Genomic DNA, 18,388 nt, shown 5'->3' with positions numbered 1-18,388 from the left:
ACAAAACTCACAAGAAAGTTATAAAAATATTTTATTTAAATGGTACAGAAAAAAATATGTATACTTAAAAATGATTAAAACTTCACATTAGGAAATGCTAAAAACCCAGTAATTTACACAATGATAAAATCTAAAGTGACGGGAAAACATAAAATATTTTCATTTGGTCCTGTCACCTAACAAAACGATCATAAATATGAGATTATAGTAATTACTAAAGCTGGTTAAAGGCACATGACAACGTAATTCCTTTATACATATCCAGTCATTTTATACAAGGAACTGCTATCCCTTAAATGGAAGAGTGAACTATTTGTTTAAAATATTAAGAGTGCATCATGTACCTATAATGAAACCACTTTCTCCAAAGACTCAAACAGATTAACATTGCAAAATAGTATTTCTGTATCACTGACTTCTGAAAATTTTAATAATTTAAGAATATGCAAGTGAAATATAATTTATTCTGGTTTCAAAAATAGTTATACAAAGTCACAATTTTCCCCAGGAAACCATTCACTTCATAGCTGCAAAAACACACTGTAGCTTTTCTGTTAGGGTCTGTCATGCTTTCAGCTAGCTGGATGTTTAACCATTCACTTCAAATTTACGTGTCCAGCCATGCACGGTGGCGTGGGCCTGTAGTCCCAACTACTTTGAAGGCTGAGGCAGGAGGATCACTTGATCCCAGGAGTTCAAAGCCAGCCTGGGCAACATAGAAGACCCTATCTCTTAAAAAAAAAAAAAGTATATATCCTTAAATCTGAAAGAAAACCAGCATTTATGTAACAAGTAAAACATTCTATCTTAAGCTATTGCATTTAACACTAAAAAGCATAGTTCACTCTGTGATCTACAACGTTGTCTGAGTCTCCATTACAATTGTAAATTCATGTCAGGGTAAGAGCTCCCAAACATCTGTAAAAACTCAAAATTCAAGAGTCAAAGAAGGGGCTGAGCACATGAGAAGGGGAGAGATGGGTGACAGGGTCAGGTGAGGAAGTGTTCTGAGATGTGTAGGATTCCTCCGGGCCCAAAGCAGCTTGTGGCACCACATGCATACAGGAACGAAGGGCCTCCTGTGAGGGCTCCCAGTGGTTCCAAGACACAGCAAGGTGCCTGAAAGAGGCTGGAGACATTGGCGTGGGCATGGAGGTGCTAGCAACTATTTTCAGACTGCTAACAATGAGACTGTGTCCATTTCTTCTTTGTACAGTTACCATTGACCTTCCTTTAAAATCCCACAGGGAGAACATGCTGTTTTTAGCAGAAATGTCAGTTTTCATTAACTCCTTGAAAATTTAGCGTATTAACTTTCATTTCCATGAGCTTCAATTTCCACACCTGTCAACTGCTGTATAAAGCAGGTTTCCTGCAAGTTCTGATGTAAGTGACCTGACAGGAGGCACTATCTTTGTCCTTCTCAACTTGCCTCTAAGCATCTGGAGTGAGTATTCTCAATATGCACTTATTTAATAACAGAGTTATCCGACACTCAGAAAACAGCCTCCACTGTGTAAGGCAGCAGATCTCAGGATGGGGTGATCTGTAGGGAGGCAGAAATTCTATAAATAACACCAAACAAAAGCTGATTGTGTCATCCAACACATTTTTATGAGGAAGTCAGAATAATTAGAAGATGGTAGAATTTTTTTTCCCAGTTGGGTAAAATTGTCCATTCTTCCTGTATTCCCATTTCTTAAGAATGATCTAGCCAACAGTCATTGAATATAAGCTGACACAAATTAATATAATTTCAACATAAAATGGTCTAATGTGTGAATTTAACTATATTGGAAGGTACAAATCCTGTCTTTATGAGGTCTTTGAAAGGCAGGGTACCTTCTCTAAAAAGTAGTCACTTAGAACCAACTTTTACAAAAGAAAGAGTCTCAGCCCCCAACCCCTGCCAGCCTGGGCAAAATAAGGAGACTCTGTTTCTACAAAAAAAATTTTAAAAATTAGCCAAGCGTGGTAGCACATGTTTGTAATACCAGCTCCTTGGGAAGCTAAGGTGGGAGGATCGCTTGAGCCCCCAGGTGGTCAAGGCTGCAGTGAGCGGTGATCATGCCACTGTACTCCAGCCTGGACAACAGAGTGAGACACTGTCTCAAAAAAAAGGAGTCTATCTCAGAGTTCAACGAATGGATAATTCTAGTGTGGACAACTCTGGTGTAAACATGACTGAAAATAATTCACAAATAGTCTGTTACAGCTCCATCCACTGAAAATTGTCATAAAAGACATTTTTCAAATGAGTTCATTTTTAGAAAAACCATTCCAGATATCTTACCTTCGGAAATCATCCAAGGAGTGTGATAAACATTACAACCCCCATAAACTGGGTAAACAACAACAATGGAGTGAAAAACGACCACACATGCCATAAAGCAATGTTGAAGCTGAAAAGAACAAGACATAAACAGTTGACAACTCAAATATGCATCAATATATTTTATTCTAGAATCCAGATTTAAAGTATTCAATGTAGAAAAGTTCATCCAGTCAGCAACCTTCTCCATGTATCATATTTCTCAGCTATGTGACTTAGCCAATGCTGGAAAGAAAACTCTAGATATACTTACACAAGTATCACAATTTCTTCAAGAAGGCCCTGGAACTGGAACCACTAAAGGTCTCCTAATAGGAGTTGACATGGCTTAATAGAAACTGCAGTCTCTTAGTTTCTGCACTTGAACAAGAATTTAAATGGCTACAGCCCATTTTTATGACATCACACACTAAACTATCATGGTAAAAAAGACCAAAGTATTTTCTCTTAAAAACAGAATGAAAACAGTTATCACTTATAAGCTGCTATTCTATATTTCATTGAGAAGAACACTATTCCTGTCATCAAAGTAAAATTAAAACACTTTCTAAGTGTAAAGATTGTTAGTGACTGAAATTTCTAAGAACAGAATAGGAAAAACTATATTCAAATAAGTTCAGATGGTTATTGGTTTTAACATATAATATTTTGATAAGTATGAGTATTAAATAACTATAATCACACTGTCTAAAAAATTAATATTTCTGGAGATGATCTTAGCCTTATGGGAAAAAGTAAAAAAACATATCTGTATGCCCCCACATACAGGTTAACAATAACCACATCACACTGTCAAACACCCTTGAACTTCAACTACAGAAAATAAGTCATAGAAAGAATATGTATAAAGGTATATGGTTCTTCCAAAATAAAAATTCAATTAGGCCGGGGGTGGTGGTGCATGCCTGTAATCCAGCACTTTGGGAGGCCAACACAAGCAGATGGCTTGAGGCCAGGAGTTTGAGACCTGCCTGAGCAGCATGGCGAAACCCCATCTATACAAAAAATATTAAAAATAGCCAGATGTGGTGGCACATGCCTGTGGTCCCAACTACTCGGGAGGCTGAGTGAGGTAGGAGGATCACTTAAGCCTGGGAAGTCGAGGCTTCAGTGAGCTGTGATCATGCCACTGCACTCCGGCCTGGGTGACACAGTGAGACCCTGTCTCCAAAAAAAAAAAAAAAAAAAAAAAAAATCCAATTGATATAAAGAAAGAAAAAACTAGAGAGCTACGCACAACATAGGAAAAGTAGTTTTCTTTCTGGTTGGATCAGAGGATATATTTCCTTTGTGTTTTTCTGTAATTTACAGATTTTTTTTTCCTCAGTGAGCAAGTATTACTTTTATAAACTGAAAAAAAACCTGTATTTTTCATCGAGTATTTAATTAACTTATGAAGAAGGTTATTCATTGTGGCATTGTTTGAGTATAAATATAACGAAGTCCAACAACAGAAGACAGGTTAAATAAATCATGTTATGTCCATGCTGTGAAAACTATGCAACTGTTTAAAAAAATGAGACACATCTATATGTACCATTATGGAAGAATCCCAAACTATAAGGATCCACTGAAAAACAAAAGGAAAAAAAGATGAACAACCACTTTGGAAAGCAGTTTGGCATGATTTACTGAAGTCAAAGGTATGTACATCCAACAATTTTACCCCTTGGGGTGTATATATATATACACACACACACACACACACACACACACATATACGTACATCTCTACACCCAACAGAAATGTGTTCACTGTGCTACAAGAGCCATGTACAAGAATGCTCTTTATAGCATCCTTCATAGTAACCCCAAACTGAAAAAAATCTAAACACAACCAACAGTGGAAAAGAAAACTGGGATTCAATTAAACAATGGAATGCTAAAGAGCAATGAAGATGAGTCACTGTTCCCGGCTACAATATGAAACAACTGCACACAATGCTGCACACAGCCAGCTCAATGTGAAGGAATACACCCTGTATGAATCCATTTCTATAAAGTTCAAAAGCACAGCTGAAACAAAAATAGAATATCTAATGGAAGCAAAGCAAGTAGTTACCATGAAGGTCAGGGCAGTATTTACCGGTGGCAGGAGGGATGGTGCAGTAACTGGGAGGGAGAATGAAGGGGGTTCCCAATGTACTGGCTCAGTTTACACCAATGCTCACTTCATGAAAATTCATTCATTTCAGTTTTTTCCACTTTTCTATATGTATTGTACGTCATAATAAAATAGACTTAAAAAGCAAAATGCAGAATATGTACAGAATGTCACCATCTGTGCTTTAAATAACTAGATCCATAAATAGAAGGAGAAAGAGATACTAATGAAAAGGGAACCAGAGAGCATGAATGACCAGGAGACTATTTTTCTGTTTTAACTTTTTTACTTTCGAAGTTTGGACCAAGTATATCACTATCTGATCAGGAGGTGGGGGGCGTTGTCAGCCCAAGCAGCTGCCACCGTGAGCAGTGGACACAGGACCAGCTTCTGGGGATGATCCTGTCCTCTCCTAGCACAGCCCCGTGCATGGACAGGGCATCCATGCCATCCGTGTCACCCAGGGCAGGTCACTAAGCCTCCCGCAGCCCATTTCCCCGAGTCGCCCAGGCGCGGTGGAGCACATGCAGCACAGTTGTTTTAGGAATTGGATGACTCACTGAGCTCCTGACAAGTAGTAGGCTCGGCACGTGGCTGTGGCACTTTTTTCTAACTGCCTGGGTTCCATCTCAACTCCCAGAGAGTGAACATCCCGCCTCTCATCTCAGGACTGGTGCTCTCTGAAGCATTAAGTAGGAAATTGAGAGTAGTAGCAAGTGAGACTTAGGGGGCAGGTAGGCAGAAATCAGTGATGGCATAGCCGCGCCACCATGACCATCCTGGCCATTGTCTCCTGTGTCTCCTGCTCCTCGAGGTCTTCAAAGTCTCATGCTGCCTTCTCCAGCAGCTGCTCTCTGTGATGGGAGGGTGGGCACAGGGTGGGTTTGTGGGTGATTCTGCTGAAGCCAGGGAGATGACGTCTGTCCAAGGACCCTCAGCCTGGAGCCCAGGCTCCAGGAAGCTCTGTGGGGGACAGCTGACGTCACTGGGCATCTCCTTTCTGTCTGCTCTGCTCACAGAAACCTGCAGGACACTGCCCATAAGGTGAAGTGAGCAAAGAGGCCAGGCCAGTCCTTCCCAGCCCCATGGAAGCCAGTTCAGCAGGACCCTACATGGATGGGCTTCTGCAACTGTGAGCAAAGGGGGCCCATCAGGCTGTGCCCAGCCCCTAGGACACACAAGGGAAGGGCTTCTTCCCAATACCTGCCACCTGCTGCCTCTGCACAGCCGTGGTGTGCACACTGCTGCAGGGAGCAGGCACCCTCATCCCTGTGGCCCATCTCCCCCTTCTTGTCCTCATTCTGAGGCCATACAAAACTGGCCTGCAGCATCCTCACCCTCAACCTTGCCCTGCTGGGAAAACTTAGGCCCTCAACTAAACTCGGGCCCCTGGACGCACTCGCTCGGCCGCAGTTCTCAATCTTCCCTCTGCCTGGAAGGCCCTGTCGTGTGTTTCACACTTGCTAAGCAGAGTCCCCTCTGAACTCAGCCCCCTGGATCCAGCCCAGCCCTCCTGGATCCACTTGCCAGAGCAGCCCCGGACCCCGCCAGCCCCTCCCACTGACTCCAGTGCAGGTCAGTGAAGGTGACTATGACAGCTCTGGTAATCCTGGAAGAACCCCCAGGATTGAACACAGCTCTTGGGCTCTGATTACAGCCAATTACCATAATGGAGAGAATATCTGGATTCTCCCCTAATTTCCTCTCCTCTTAAAATTTTCAATTAAGAGCCTAATCTTGATGGAAAATGGCTGCTTTCTGGAGTACTCTCCGCAGTGCTGATTCCTCATTGCTAAGTGCTTTTTCTAGACAGATAGAGGCTCTCGATGATTCCAGATAAAATCAGAGCAAAGGAGCTTACCCAAAGAAAGGAGGAGAGCAGAGCAGCAATAGGCTATGCCCCGGAGCCCTCCCCACTGCTGGAGACACCAGGTGGGTGAGGGGTCTCTTGGGCCCTTCCAGCCTGCAGAGCTGCTGAGAGTCAGGCCTGGCTGCCAACAAAGCAGCTGAAGTCTTGAGAAAACTTCCTGATTGCATTAGCGAGGTTGCAACACCAGGACATAATCAAATCTCCCTGGAGGACGTGGCTTCAGGAAGGGCTGCTACAAGCCAGTGGCAGAACAAGGGCAACCAGGGTCAGACACGGTGGAAGGAGGGAAGTCCCAGAGCCGAGCATGGGTGGACATCAGAGGGGTGTGGGCTGCACCATCTGGGTGCAGGGGCCAGCAGGCAGTGCGGGTCCACCCAGCCCAGGGCCAGCCTTTCCCAGCAGTCGCGTGCAGAAACCTGGCACACGTCATGGGGCAGCGGTCCCATATCATAGGCCCTCCTGGTGTTAGCAGTCAGGAGGGTGCCTAGAAAAGCCTCCCACAGCCACAGGGACAGCAGGATCTGAGCCCACCCTCCACACCAGAAGCCTGCCCAGCACCGTAGGCAGGGCCCGGGTGCCCTGCTCAGGAATGAGCTCTGCTTCCAGCTTGGCCATCCTAGTTCCACCCTGTCTGTAACTTAGCCGACCAGGAAGATGGCTGTGATGACCACAGAAAATCCTGACACAGAGCTGGCATGAAGGAGCTGTGCCTGTGGGAGCTTCAGAGTCCTCAGGCCAGGCTGGCCCTGGCTCTGCCACCTCTTGGCTGGAATGCCTTCAGGCACCTACTGAGCCTCTCAGGGGCTCAGCATCCTCATCTGTGGGACACGGATAATAATAGGGTTGTTTTGAGAGTAAAAGCACAAAACACAGAGCCTGGCTGGAGAAAGCACAGGTAGCTGAAGTCAGCCAAGGCTGAGTTAAGTGTTCTTCTTAGAAAAGCGGACAGGCCATTCCCTGAAGGCATCAGTGCGGGCAGGAGGGAACCTGCACTTTGCAGTTCCAACACCTCAGGACACAATTCCTGCTAACCTGACCCACAAAAGACCAAAGGACACACCCAAGATCCTGGACCAACGTCCCACAAGGATGCCTTCCTGGTTTCTTCTCTAAGAATACGTCTTAAAATGTTCCCCAGGAAGCTAACTCTATATTCCTAATGTATGGACCATGGAAAGAAAACAAGTGTCTCAGTAGGTTTGTTCAACAAATGTGCAAATGCAGAGACGAACAAAGATGCCCAAAGTCAAGGAGCAGCTCAGTCGCCTCCGACATGCTCGGGGGCCACAACCACCTCCAACCTCTGCCCTGTTCACACTTTCCTCCACCCAGATTCCCCTCTTGCCCTGGCACTCCAGGAATTGTTTGATGTCCTGGAAGCTCCCTTTCTCTGTTCCACAGCCCCTGAGGCTGGTACCTCCCTGCATGCGTGTCCACCTCACCCACTGAGTTCCAGGAGCAGGCGTCTATCCTGCTCGCCCTGACTCAGCAGGGAGGGCTGAGCTCTGGAGCCTGAGTGCACCCAGACCTGCCCCATGGCCTCCTGTGCCTCTGTGTCCTCCTCACCCTCGACTCACCAAGGAGCCCTGAGGACGTGAGAACTGGAACATGCCCAAGACCCACATCGGGGCCTGGCACACACCAAGCGTCTAGTGAACGCTTGATGACTGAGGACAGCATCGCTTCTTCTAAGAGGGAAAAAAAGGAAAGTCAACCAGAGACAATTTGTAAAAGATGGCTTTTGACTGAGGCCTTGAAGGATGGGCAAGGATGGGCAAGGGGAGGGGGGACTCAAAGTGCAGGATGAGAAGGCTCTAGGTGCCTGAGTGCCTCTGCATGTGAACATGCATGTGCATGTGTGTGCATGTGTGTGTGCATGAGACTTGCAGCCTTGCATGTGTGCGTGCATATGCATATGTGTGTTCATATGCGCATGCATGTGTGTGTGCCCTAGTCCAGACAGGGTTCTGAGTGCACTGTGGGGGACAGATGATTTCACACTCCGCCCTGAGTCTGAAATCAGTGGGACAGATGACCTTGAAGAAGGCCTTATGGCTCACTTAGTGTGAGCCAGACTCCATAGAGACAGTGACGGCAGGACACATGCATGGGGGTCCACCTTCCCAGAGCTGGAGCCCACATAGCTCCAGGACCTCAAGGGAAGCCCAGGGTCTGAGGGGCCCAGGAGGCCCATCCATGTGATGGACCCAAGGAGACTTTGGTGGCTTCTCTGTTAAGATTTGAAGGGGGCCAGGTGTGGTGGCTCACGCCTGTAATCCTAGCACTTTGGGAGGCTGCAGCAGGGGGATCACGAGGTCAGGAGTTCAAGACCAGCCTGGCCAACATAGTGAAACCTCATCTCTACTAAAAATACAAAAATAAAAATAAAAAATTAGCCGGGTGTGGTGGTGGGTGCCTGTAGTCCCAGCAGTTTGGGAGGCTGAGGCAGGAGAATCGCTTGAACCCAGGAGGCAGAGATTGCAGTGAGCTGAGATTGTACCACTGCACTGCAGCCTGGGAGACAGAGCAGGACTCTGTCTCAAAAAAAAAAAAAAAAAAAGATTTGAAGGGAGCCCAGGGGGCAGGACTGGGTGGGCACAGGATGGAGACAGTGACACCCTTGGTCTTGGGTGGCCCCTGCCAGCCCCAGCATATCCTCAGCAGATAGGGTGACAACAGCGCCTCTACCTCTAGTGGGAGGCGCAAGAGAAATTCACGCGATGCACTTGCCTGGGCTTGGTGAGTGGAAAGCTCCCCACTGACTCGAGGGCTGGTGGTGAGGATGGAGAGGGAGGTGGAGATGGAGGCGACAGCATGGGCAGAGCAAGAGCACAGCCGTGGAAGGGAGGTCCTCCCAGCTAGCCTTTGGGAGGCCCATGGCCAGTCTCGGGGCAGGAGGAAAGAATGTGAACCAAAAGCGGAACGTCCAGCCAGGGGAGGCCCCAGCAATGACTGTATCAGGGCTGAGTGTGATCACAGGAAAAGTCACCTAAGGACTGAAATCCAGTGGAGTCAAGACTACGTGGAAGCCTATCTCTCCATGATGGCAACTTTGGAAGAACGTGTGACCTTGTGGAAGTGCACAGAAGGCACTGCTGGCCTGAATGGGTCCTCGGGCTGCGGTCTCGGGGCCGGCTTCTCTCCCTTCCCCAGACCTGCTGTGGCTCCATCCCCTCTCTCCTGCATCCTGGGATTGCCTCCAATTAACTACCTGCTTACAAGCCTTTTCTTTATTTTCTTTTTGCCTTCTTTTCTTTACATGTAAAACATGAGTCCATCTGGAGCTTATTTTAAAGCACAGTATGAGGACTGACATTGACCTGTTTTTTTAAATGAAATAACTAGTTGTCCCAACCCTGCTTGTTGGATAACACTGCTCTGTTTCAGGAGTACCCCCACTGTCATACACCCGTGGGTCCATACCCCTGGGCTCTCCATCTGGGCACTCCCCTGCCTGTGGCACCTCCTTCCTGAGGGCCGGCCTCACCCAGGGCCCAGCTGCCCTCTCCATGGCCTGTGTCTTCCTTTCCTGATGCCTCAGATTTCCCCCATTCTCTGGCACTCTTTCCATCCTCCTGGCCTCACTCTGCACCTCCCCTGAGGTGCAGGACTGCCCTGCCCCAGCCCCCAGCTTCCTCACTCCCAAAGCATTGTGCCACTGAAGCACGAGCTCCAGAGTGCACCTGGATGGCAGCTTCTCTCCTGGCCAACAAACGCCTGGTGCTGGCTGCCCTCCCAGCATCTCCCCTCAACTCCTCAGCTCCACCCCAGGGCCTTAACACACACATGCATAGCACACACACATACAAACATATGCACACACAGACATGCACACAAATGTACATACGGACTTACACAGACACACACAAATGTGCACACATTCGTGCATACACAGATGTGTTCATGCAAACACACACGTGCACGCTCACGGGCACGTACACATGTGTAGGTTATGCTAAGAAATCCATTTTGTGTAGAAGACACTCAGGCTCAAATATGTGTCCAAAGTCACACAGCTATGGAGCGGCAGAACTCAGGTCTCTAGCGCACACAGCCCCGACTTACCGCAGTTCCACTTAACAGTTTTCAACTTTATAGTGATGCAAAAGCCATCCACAGTCAGCAGAAACCCTCGTGTGAGTCCCACACGGCCAGTTTTTCACTTTCAGTACAGCAGTCAATGATTACATGAGGTATCCGACACTTGACTACAAAACAGGCTTCGTGTTGATGCTTCTGCCCACCGCAGGCTCAGGGCAGTGTTCTCAGCAGGCCAAGGTGGGCCCCCCCACGCTGTGCTATTCGGTAGTCAGGTGGACTCAGTCATTTTCCACTCGCAGCGGCCTTATTGGGCCGCAGCCAGGGGTAAGTTGAGCAGTGTCTGTACTTTTAGCTCCACCCTGGGTATTTTTAAGTGGCAGATTTACAACAAAAAATAAAAATAAAAATGAAAAAATACAGCGTTCCAAATAGTAGGGGCATAAAAGGAGAGAATGCACGTTGTGGACAGCCCATGCCTGGGAGCATAAGCACTTCAGGGCATCACCAGGCGTGACTGGCTATTGTTCCTGCTCTTCCTGGCAGCAGCGGCCTGGGCCTGAGAGGGATCGCCCTGGCCACAGCTGTAGGCAAGGCTGCTGGGAGCCGCCACGCTCCGCGATAGCGAGTCTGCGGCGCCACCTCGTGGGTGCTGCGTGGAACTCCCCGTGGTGAGGGCGGGGAAGGCCGGGTCCCCACAAAGCCGGAGCCCGAGCACAGCGGTGGGAGCTCGCCCCAGGGCATCCCATAGCACCCGGAGACGGGGGCTGGTCCCCCAAAACCCTCAGGGGTGAGAGGAAGGAGGTCCCCAGCCTGCTGAGAGCTGTCCTCTGAGCACGCACTCGCGCACACTCACACGTGCATGTGTGCATCCTCGGGCACCCTGATGCGTTCACATGCACGTACACGCGTGTGCACACGCACAGTCTTTCACAAGCGTATGACGCGTTCACACAAGAGTGTGACGCGTTCACACGCACGCACACTCCCTCTCCCTCGAGCCTGGAAGGCGCACTGGGCTCATAGGGGTGGAAACCTCTACCGCGGCAGAGGCATGGCGCCAGGGCCAGGATGCTCGCTTTTATTTCAGACGTGAAAACTGAGGCCCGAAAGAGACAGCCAGTGTCCAACCCTGTCCAACGTCTCTGCTGATTGTGCCTCCTGTGTGCGGCCGGGGCCGGTGTGAGGGCTGCGGGCCCACCGCACGCCTGGCCCGCCCCAGGGCCTCGAGCCACTTCCTCAGGAGCTGCTGGCAGCTGCAGCGACAGCGCGCCCAGAGCCCGAGGGTCCCATGGAGCCAGGCTTCCCAGCACACAGGCGCGGTGGAGCCTCGGGGTGGGCATACACCCCGCGAGCTCGCGGGGGCTGGGCACTGCGGGTCCTCGGGTGGGGACTCTGGAGTTCAGTCTTGAAGGACACAGTCACTGAGGGTCAGGGAACCAGGAGGGTAGGGAGAGTAGGGAGGGGTGCCTAGGCCTAGTGGGAGAAGCATGTGAAAGTTCCCTAAGAGGGCTGGGGGTGAACAAGCGCTCGGCCCGGCCTCTCCCGGTAGACTGCTCTGGTGCCCTGAAGCCTCCCTTCTCCAAGGCCCCATGGACGCCCCCAGAGGGGTGACGCCCTCGCCCACGCTGAGCTCTGAGTGCTGCACGAGAACTCCCAGAGCCGTGTGCACACGCGCTCCCCGTGTTATAACTGGCATTAAGTGCACTCACATTGTCGCATATCCCCTACCACCGTCCATCTCCAGAACGTCTTCATCTTCCCAAAAGGAAACCAGACCCATTGAACACCAACTCCCTCCTTTTGTTAACCATTGCTCTTTCTGTATTTGAATTTGCCCATTCTGGGCCCCTCATGTAAGTGAAATCGCAATGTATTTGTCCTTTTGTGGCTGGCTTATTCCATCTAGCACAATGTCCTCAAGGTTCATGTGTGTTGGCACACCTCTCAGAATTTCCCTCCTGGCTGGGTGATATTATAGGCTCACGCCTATTATCCTAGCTGTTAGGGAGGCAGAGGTAGGAAGATAGCTTGAACCCAGGAGTTCGAGACCTGCCTGGGCAATATAGCGAGACTGCATTTTCCACAAAAAGAAAGAAAAAAAAGAATCTCCTTCCTGGTAAAGGTTCAGTAACAGTCTACTGTATGCATAACCACATTTCGCTTGCCCATCCACTCACCCATAGACCCTCAGAATGCTTCTACCTTTTGACTCTTGTGAATCACGCTGCTTTGAACATGGGTGTGCAAATATCTGTGAGAGTGCCTGCTCTCAAAAAAATCCACATTCTTGGCACCATGAAGAATCACCTCTCACAGACACCAGCGAAAACCAAGTCTGTCTGAGAGCAGAGGGTGAGGAGGGGAAAGCCGGGCTGCGGATCACAGTGGGCGGAGGAAAGCCCACCCTTGTGTTCCCATGTGTGGGAGGAGAGAGGAGAGATGCCCTCTAGTGAAGGAACTCTTGTAGCAGCCAGCTCCATTCCTGCTTGGCCTGCGGAGGGCCAGCTCAGGAGCCCAGACCAGGAAGAAGTCAAATGACCGACAAGATCCATCAGGAAGCAGAAGTGTGCTGTGTCTCATCGGCAACAACAAACAGAGCTAGGACCAGCCACCCACCCCCCAACCCAGGGGAAATGCATCCACCACACAACTACCACCGCTGCGCTCATGACACTCTCAGAGACAGGCACGGGAGCTCCTGGCAAGGCACAACCAGGGCAAGTGACAGTTTGCCAGTCCTGGGCAAGCAGACACTTATCCTCTCTCCAGTCCCCAATCCCACCAGCCTGCACAAGCAGAGAAACATCCTGCATAAATTAAAAGATCATCTGGATCATCAAAAGATCTGAGCAAACAAAACGACTGAGACAAAAAACAAACAAAACAAAACAAACAAAAAACAGAACAACAACAACAGAAGAACACTCATTTTTACAGAGAGATTTGAGCCCATCCCAACAGAGTACAATGCTCTTTCCAAGCTCATGGATGGCGTTTGGGAAAATTTAGCTGTGCTAAAGGAGCAGGAAGCCTCAGCCCCTTTCCCAAGAATTGCTGTTACACAAATCACATTCTCTCACCAGGGTGCAACAAAATTAGAAACATGCAATAACAAAGACCATGTTAAAAGTGCATTTTGGGGCCGGGCATGGTGGCTCATGCCTGTAATCGCAGCACTTTGAGAGGCTGAAGCGGGTGGATCACCCCAGGTCAGGAGATCGAGACCAGCCTGGGCAACATGACGAAACCCTGTCTCTACTAAAAATACAAAAAATTAGCCAGGCATAGTGGCAAAAGCCTGTAAACCCGGCTACTAGGGAGGCTGAGGCAACAAAATCACCTAAACTTAGGAGGCAGAGGTTGCAGTGAGATGAGATTGTGCTACTGCACTCCAGCCTGAGCGACAGAGTGAAACTCTGTCTCAAAAAAGAAGAAAAAGTGTGTTTTGGAAACAAAGTTAGTTTTCACAATGAAAATTATAAAATGCCTGGAACTCAATAGCAATAGGGTATTACATATTAAAATTATGAAACTCAACAAAATTGACATTTAGGGAGAAATTTATATCCTCAGATTAATTTGTCAGAAACAGGATAAAAGGAGAAAGCTGATGATAATTTGAGTAAAAGAGAAAATAAAAACTAAAATGAAAAACTTTTCAGAAACAAACTACAATAAGTGTGTGACCTATCAAAATCTCTGGATGTGTCCAAAGCAGTTCTCAGGGGAAACGTTATAGCTGGAAGTGTTTGTTAATATGCTTCAACAGAAGACATATAAAATTATATAAACTAAGTAAACATACAAGAAGCTTTTTTAAGGGAAACAAGAAATAAATGTATTTAATTTTAAAACAGCCATAATAAAAGTAGACTTGATAAATAAAACCCAAAACCACTTCTTTGAAAAGACCATTAAAAAAACCTCTGAGAAGTCAAGCAAAAGAGAAAGAAAAGGCACAAATTTTAAAATGTTAGATTTAGAAAAATGACATAATAACCAACGTGGAGAAGCTGCTTCAAATCAAGGAGACGGGAGGCCAGCTTCATTCCATGGGAGGCCAGCTTCATTCCAGTAGGTTCTGTTTCACCTGGATGAAATGGAAGATTTTCTTGGAATGTATAAATTGGCTTAGCAGGAGGCAGAAAACCTGAATAAACAGAACAAACAGAAATGGTAAGCAGGTGCTCGAGGGGCTCCATCAGCCTCCAGGGATGGGCTGCTGTGTTAGGGAGGGCCAGAGCACAGGGGAAGTGGAGTGTAATTCTTTCTACAAGATTAGCAAGCTGAACTTGAATCTCACACACGCACACACACCACAGTGACATGGAAAGAATCCACAGGACACTTATGAGAGGTAAAAATAGAAAGTTTCTGCACAAAACAATCGTGTGTGTTTAAAAGATACCATGTGGCAGAAAATAGTGATCTATGTTTGCCAGTGTCTAGGAAGAAACCTTGAAGGCGCACGCCAGACTGGCGGCTGGGTTGGCTAGGGAGGAGACGATGGGGTGGGAGCAGCTAAGGACGACACACACTCTTTTAACTCTGTTCCTGTGTTGTCGGGACGTTTACAAACTGAAGATATATATTTTTAATTAATTATTTTTTTTTTAATTTTACTTTAAGTTCTGGGATACATGTTCAGAACATGTAGGTTTATTACATAGGTATACATGTGCCATGGTGGTTTGCTGCACCTATCAATTTGTCATCTAGGTTTTAAGCCCTGCATGCATTAGGTATTTGTCATAATGCTCTCCTTTCCCTTGCCTCCAACCCCTGGATAGAACCTGGTGTGTGATGTTCCCCTCCCTGTGTCTACGTGTTCTCATTGTTCAGCTCCCATTTATGAGTGAGAACATGAGGTACAAACTGCAGATAGTTATACATTACTTTAAAGTAATTAAGTTAAACTAAACTAAATGTAAGCCAACTACATGTAAATAAATAAAACCAATAATAGCAAGATAAAAGTAATTAATACTTAAATAATTACTAATTTATTTCTCAGCTAAAAATTAAAAATTTAGAAAATGTGGAAATGTGTTTCATAATAGGAGGATATTTAAAATGAAAGGGCATTTCTGTAGTCAAATGGGTAGGAGACTCACCCAAACAAGACACAACCTCAAAACCAAAAGGAAAACTATCAGGTTTGATTATACGAATACTGAAAACCTCTGAATACATGAAAGGCAAATTCTATATCCCATGAAACTACCCTTCAGAAATGAAGAGAGAAATAAAGACATTCTCAGAGGAAGAGAATATAGGAATTTGTCACTGGTCAATTTAGAAATGCTAAAAAGTGGCTACAGAAATATGTTCTGTCATTTCCACAATATAAAAAATTAAAACAAAAAAATCAAAATAAAAAAATGGCTATAGAAAGTTCTTATGCAGAAGGGATGAATATGGGACTATGGGAGGAGGGACAAAGGAAAGACGAGAAATGTGGATACATATGCGAGACAATCCACAGTTCTTAAAATCACATTTGACGACTGAAACAAAAACTATACCACCACCTAATACTCAAGCCAGTGATTTATACAAGTGGAAAAGGTAAAGAGACATAAATGCAAGGCAGGTTTCCACACTTTGAAGTGGTAAATACTGGTACCAGTAGACTACTATATTACAATACACATATTGTAACATCCAGAGCAAACACTTTAAGACTATACAAAGAGATACACGCAACAACATTATACAGAAATAGATCAAGATGGAGGGAAAGAAAAAGGAAACAAAAAAGCAAATAATAAAAACATCAGACATAAGCAATTATGTAACAATAAGCACCTTAAATGTAAATGGTCTAAATAAACCAAAAGACAGATTGATGGAGAGCCTATAATAAACACATGGCCCAACTAAATACTGTTCATAAGAAACTTCAAACTCACTTAAGGACCTAAGTAGGTTGAAAGTAAAAGAATGGAGAAAGATATCCTGTGAAATCATTAATTTTTTAAGGAAGCAGGAGTGAATATATTAATATCTCATGAAGTAGACTTCAAGCAAAATAATTTACCAGAGCTGGAGAGGGTCTTCGCTGAATTTTAAGATCTAAAATTTCCTATGCTGCCTTGACATGTTTGAGCCTCACAGGGCCCCAAAGACCTAGCCGTGGGTTTTCCTGTTTCTACCAGACACCCCCTACCCCGCCACCCAACAGGAAAGGCTCCCCACCTGGCTAGTTCTTTTATCAGCCAGAACAGTTGCACCTCAGCCTAAGAAGTTTCACTTCACCTGTCTGCCAGCCCATGAATTTATTCAAACAAGCCAATTGCATTCCCCCTCGGGAACCATTGGTCATCGTGTGCTCTTGTTACTACCAAGCCCGCCTGCTTCCTCAGCCCGCAGCCCTCACTCCACTACAGAGTGCGGTGCCCATCTGACCCTGTGTGGCATGCAGTGTCCTCCTCTGAGCTGTGGGTATATGTGACTAAAACACTGCTGTCAATCGCATCCATCCACGCCAGGTGTCGTGTTCAGCCATCTCCTACACTTTAGGGCAGGGACCCCTCCTTCACCAATGGGGTGAAAAGAGGAAGTGACCATAACAACTGCTTAATGACAAAAGGATTAACCCACCAAGAAGACATCTACTTCAACATCCTCCTCTTAGCAACTGTTAAAACTAGGCAGAGGCCGGGCACAGTGGCTCATGCCTGTAATCCCAGAACTCTGGGAGGCAAAAACAAAGGATAGCTTGAGGCCAGGAGTTCGAGCCTGGGCAACATAGCAAGGCCTCATCTCTCCAAAAAATTTTAAATTTAGCCAGGTGTGGCGGCACACACCTATAGTACCAGCTACTCAGGAGGTTAAGCCAGGGGAAGTACTTGACCCTAGGAAGTCAAGGCTGCAGTGAGTCATGTTCGTGCCACCGCACTCTAGTGTAAGTGACAGAGTGAAACTAGGCACAAAAGGAGCAAGGATTTACAAAAGATCTGAACAGTCAACCAGCAAAATCTGACATCCGTATAATACCCCACTCCCCAACAGCAAAACACACACATTTTTAAAGCCAATAGAAATCTACCAAGATGAGGTACACTTGGGGCAATAAAAGAACTCACAGCAAATCTCGCTGTGTGCCCCTCTGCACCAGCGCCGTGCCCCTCTCTGCACCTTCTTTTCTCACCATGGGGAAGCGTTTGGGGGCCTCTTGAGGGACACCCTAGATGCTTCTACTCAGAGCCCCCAAAGCCGGGGAGCCTCCACTCCTCTGTCTGCAGCCTCCCCTGTCGGTTCTCCGCTACCCAGGGTTCAGTGGCCTGGGGGTGACGGAGGGGGTCGCCTCTGCCAAGGCCCCTCCCGGCGCCTCCCTGGCTCATCCAGCCCACCTTCCTCCCACGCTGGCTCACGCAAAGTGCTCCGGTCACCAGGAGCCCTTCCTGACCAGCCCCAGCCCCTTCTTGGCCTTCGCCCACCCGGCCTCCCCTGGAGCCCTGACCTGGGTGCCGGGCCTGCTGGGTCCAGAGCCCACCCCGCCCTGAACAACCCCGAGTCTCAGCCACCCTCGGTTCTTACCCTTTCACAGCTGGGGAGTGGAGCCTGGGCCTGCGCCTCTCCGCGCCAGAGCCGGCGCCAGCGCCTCTCCGCGCCTGCGCCGCCGCTGCGCGCCTCGCCGCCGCTGTCCGCCTCTCCGCCGCTGTCCGTCTCTCCGCCGCGCCGCCGCTGTCCGCCTCTCCGCCGCTGTCCGCCTCTCCGCCGCTGTCCGTCTCTCCGCCGCGCCGCCGCTGTCCGCCTCTCCGCCGCTGTCCGCCTCTCCGCCGCGCCGCCGCTGTCCGCCTCTCCGCCTCTGTCCGCCTCTCCGCCGCTGTCCGTCTCTCCGCCGCGCCGCCGCTGTCCGCCTCTCCGCCGCTGTCCGCCTCTCCGCCGCGCCGCCGCTATCCGCCTCTCCGCCGCTGTCCGCCTCTCCGCCGCTGTCCGTCTCTCCGCCGCGCCGCCGCTGTCCGCCTCTCCGCCGCTGTCCGCCTCTCCGCCGCTGTCCGTCTCTCCGCCGCGCCGCCGCTGTCCGCCTCCCGGCC

General features: G+C 48.1%; 1 protein-coding gene across 3 annotated transcripts; it reads right to left on the bottom strand.

Annotated features, from left to right (window-relative positions):
- Window positions 1–447: 447 nt before the first annotated feature.
- Window positions 448–18,227, bottom strand: LOC105371206 (uncharacterized). Of its 3 annotated transcripts, XR_922024.3 has the most exons (4): window positions 17,889–17,984; window positions 14,351–14,496; window positions 2,294–2,402; window positions 448–1,546 (listed from the first exon to the last, which is right to left on the bottom strand). XR_922024.3 is itself a non-coding variant. In XM_047438039.1 (2 exons), the coding sequence occupies exon 2, from the start codon at window positions 11,684–11,686 to the stop codon at window positions 10,865–10,867; it is 822 nt and encodes a 273-aa protein (XP_047293995.1). In that variant the 5' UTR covers window positions 11,687–14,436; window positions 17,889–18,227; the 3' UTR covers window positions 8,009–10,864. The 3 variants fall into 3 exon arrangements, 2 of the variants coding, with proteins under 2 accessions (XP_047293995.1, XP_047293989.1); XM_047438039.1 differs by lacking the exons at window positions 448–1,546; window positions 2,294–2,402 and having other exon boundaries at window positions 8,009–14,436; window positions 17,889–18,227; XM_047438033.1 differs by lacking the exons at window positions 448–1,546; window positions 2,294–2,402 and having other exon boundaries at window positions 8,009–14,496.
- Window positions 18,228–18,388: the final 161 nt, after the last annotated feature.

The sequence above is a fragment of the Homo sapiens genome, chromosome 1 (assembly GCF_000001405.40).
Source record: "Homo sapiens chromosome 1, GRCh38.p14 Primary Assembly".
NCBI lineage: Eukaryota > Metazoa > Chordata > Mammalia > Primates > Hominidae > Homo > Homo sapiens.
The sequence above is the reverse complement of the archived record's forward strand: the minus strand, read 5'-3'. Positions and strand labels throughout refer to the sequence as shown.

Excerpts from the sequence above, each read along its gene's own strand:
- LOC105371206 (XM_047438039.1), bottom strand. The coding sequence starts at position 11,686 with ATGCCCACCCCGAGGCTCCACCGCGCCTGTGTGCTGGGAAGCCTGGCT.